Here is a 1,652-nt window from a genome sequence, read left to right on the forward strand (position 1 = left end):
AAAGAAGGGAAGGGGAAGGAGAGAGAGAGAGAGAGAGAGAGAGAGAAGACTAGTGTGAGAAAATACTATTCGAGTTGCACTAGCAATAGTCCAGAAAATACATTTCAGGCCAAGTGCATGGAAATGATAGTGGAGCTGGAGAAAAGATGGATTTTAAAGATGCTTAAGAAGTGTACACAATAGGAATTGGTGACTTCGTGGCCAGATAGTTGTTTGTGGTGGTGGTGGATTTATCAGTCTATGTCCCAGCAGGAAAACAGAAACCATTCTAGATTTTTTAAGTGAGAAGGATTTAATTCAAGATATTGGTTACAGCATTTTTGGAAGAGCTGAAACAGCAAAATAGGAAATGAAGTTTACACAGAGACTGAGAACATGTACTGCCTCTGGGATGGAACCCATGAGCCAACATTCACTGCTCTTGTTACTGGAAGCACAAGCTTATGGTGCTAACCAGTGACCTGTGGTGTTGGCACTAATATTAGTGGAGCTGCTGCAAAGATACTGCTGGAAACCGAGATGTCACTATTTGCAGAGGTGTCACTAGAAGTAGATGGGTTTCTAGCGTCCCTCTATCTTCTAACTTGTTGAGAATGCTGCCTCCTGGCTGAACCTATCTGGAACCCAGCTGGCATGGAAATCTGGGTGATGGAATTCACAGGATTTCAGCCCCAGAGAGACAGAGAATACAGAAGGGTGAGTGCTGGCTGGGAGCCCACAACACATATTTGGCACAAGAAGTGAGGGAGGAGGAGGAGTCGGGGTGAGCCCATGGCTTCTGATTATGCTGGAGAAGAGGATACTAGCAGACCGTCTGTGGTTTGCCAATTGTATCATGGTTCCTTGTTCTATAGTAAGACCAAGGTCATCCCACAACTTGAAAAGACAAACTTGGTATCTGGCCTTGAGACGTGTATAATTCCTGATGGGTCAGAATCCCATGTGTACTTTCCTGTCATGACAGTCCCAATTATTGTAATTAAACAACTGATTTGTTGAGACTATAAGCTCCAAGAAGGCAGGTAGCATATCTGCCAGGATTGCCCCTATATTCTCAGTATCCTGAATGAAATCAAACATATAGTCAGTACTCAATAAATGTGGGTTGGATACATGCATGAGTGGATGGTGAATGAATCTTGCTAGGGAGAGTAACACATGTAAAACAACAAACTGCAACCCAACAATAATTCCACAAGAAATTGCAAAATGGTTGGGTGGTCAGACAGATCTGGAGATGTGGGAATGTGGTGATTTAGGGGGATCCAAGAAGCCCTGTGGAGGACGTGTCTGTTTGGAGCTGGCCTGGAGGAGCAGCAGAGAGAGGCAAGATCCCTGTCTTTCTCCTTGGCAACCACCATGAAGGAGAGCCTATGAGGAGGGCTCCAGGCCTCTGCATGCAAGGCCATCTGTATTTTTGTTTCTGCCATCTAGAAAAGGGGGATTTTCTTTCTTCAATGGGGAAACACAGACTTATCCTGGTATGAAAGAGCAGAGGCTTTTGGGTGTACAGAAAGTCTTAGCCACAGAGACAATTATGGATAGACAATAATAAATATCATAAAAAAACTGATAAGAAATGTTTATTTTTCAAGCACTAAAATGCAAAAGCCCCACACTCCACTGAAGGAAAAAAAAAAAGCTTAATTAAA

The sequence above is a fragment of the Homo sapiens genome, chromosome 16 (assembly GCF_000001405.40).
Source record: "Homo sapiens chromosome 16, GRCh38.p14 Primary Assembly".
NCBI classification, from domain to species: Eukaryota; Metazoa; Chordata; class Mammalia; order Primates; family Hominidae; genus Homo; species Homo sapiens.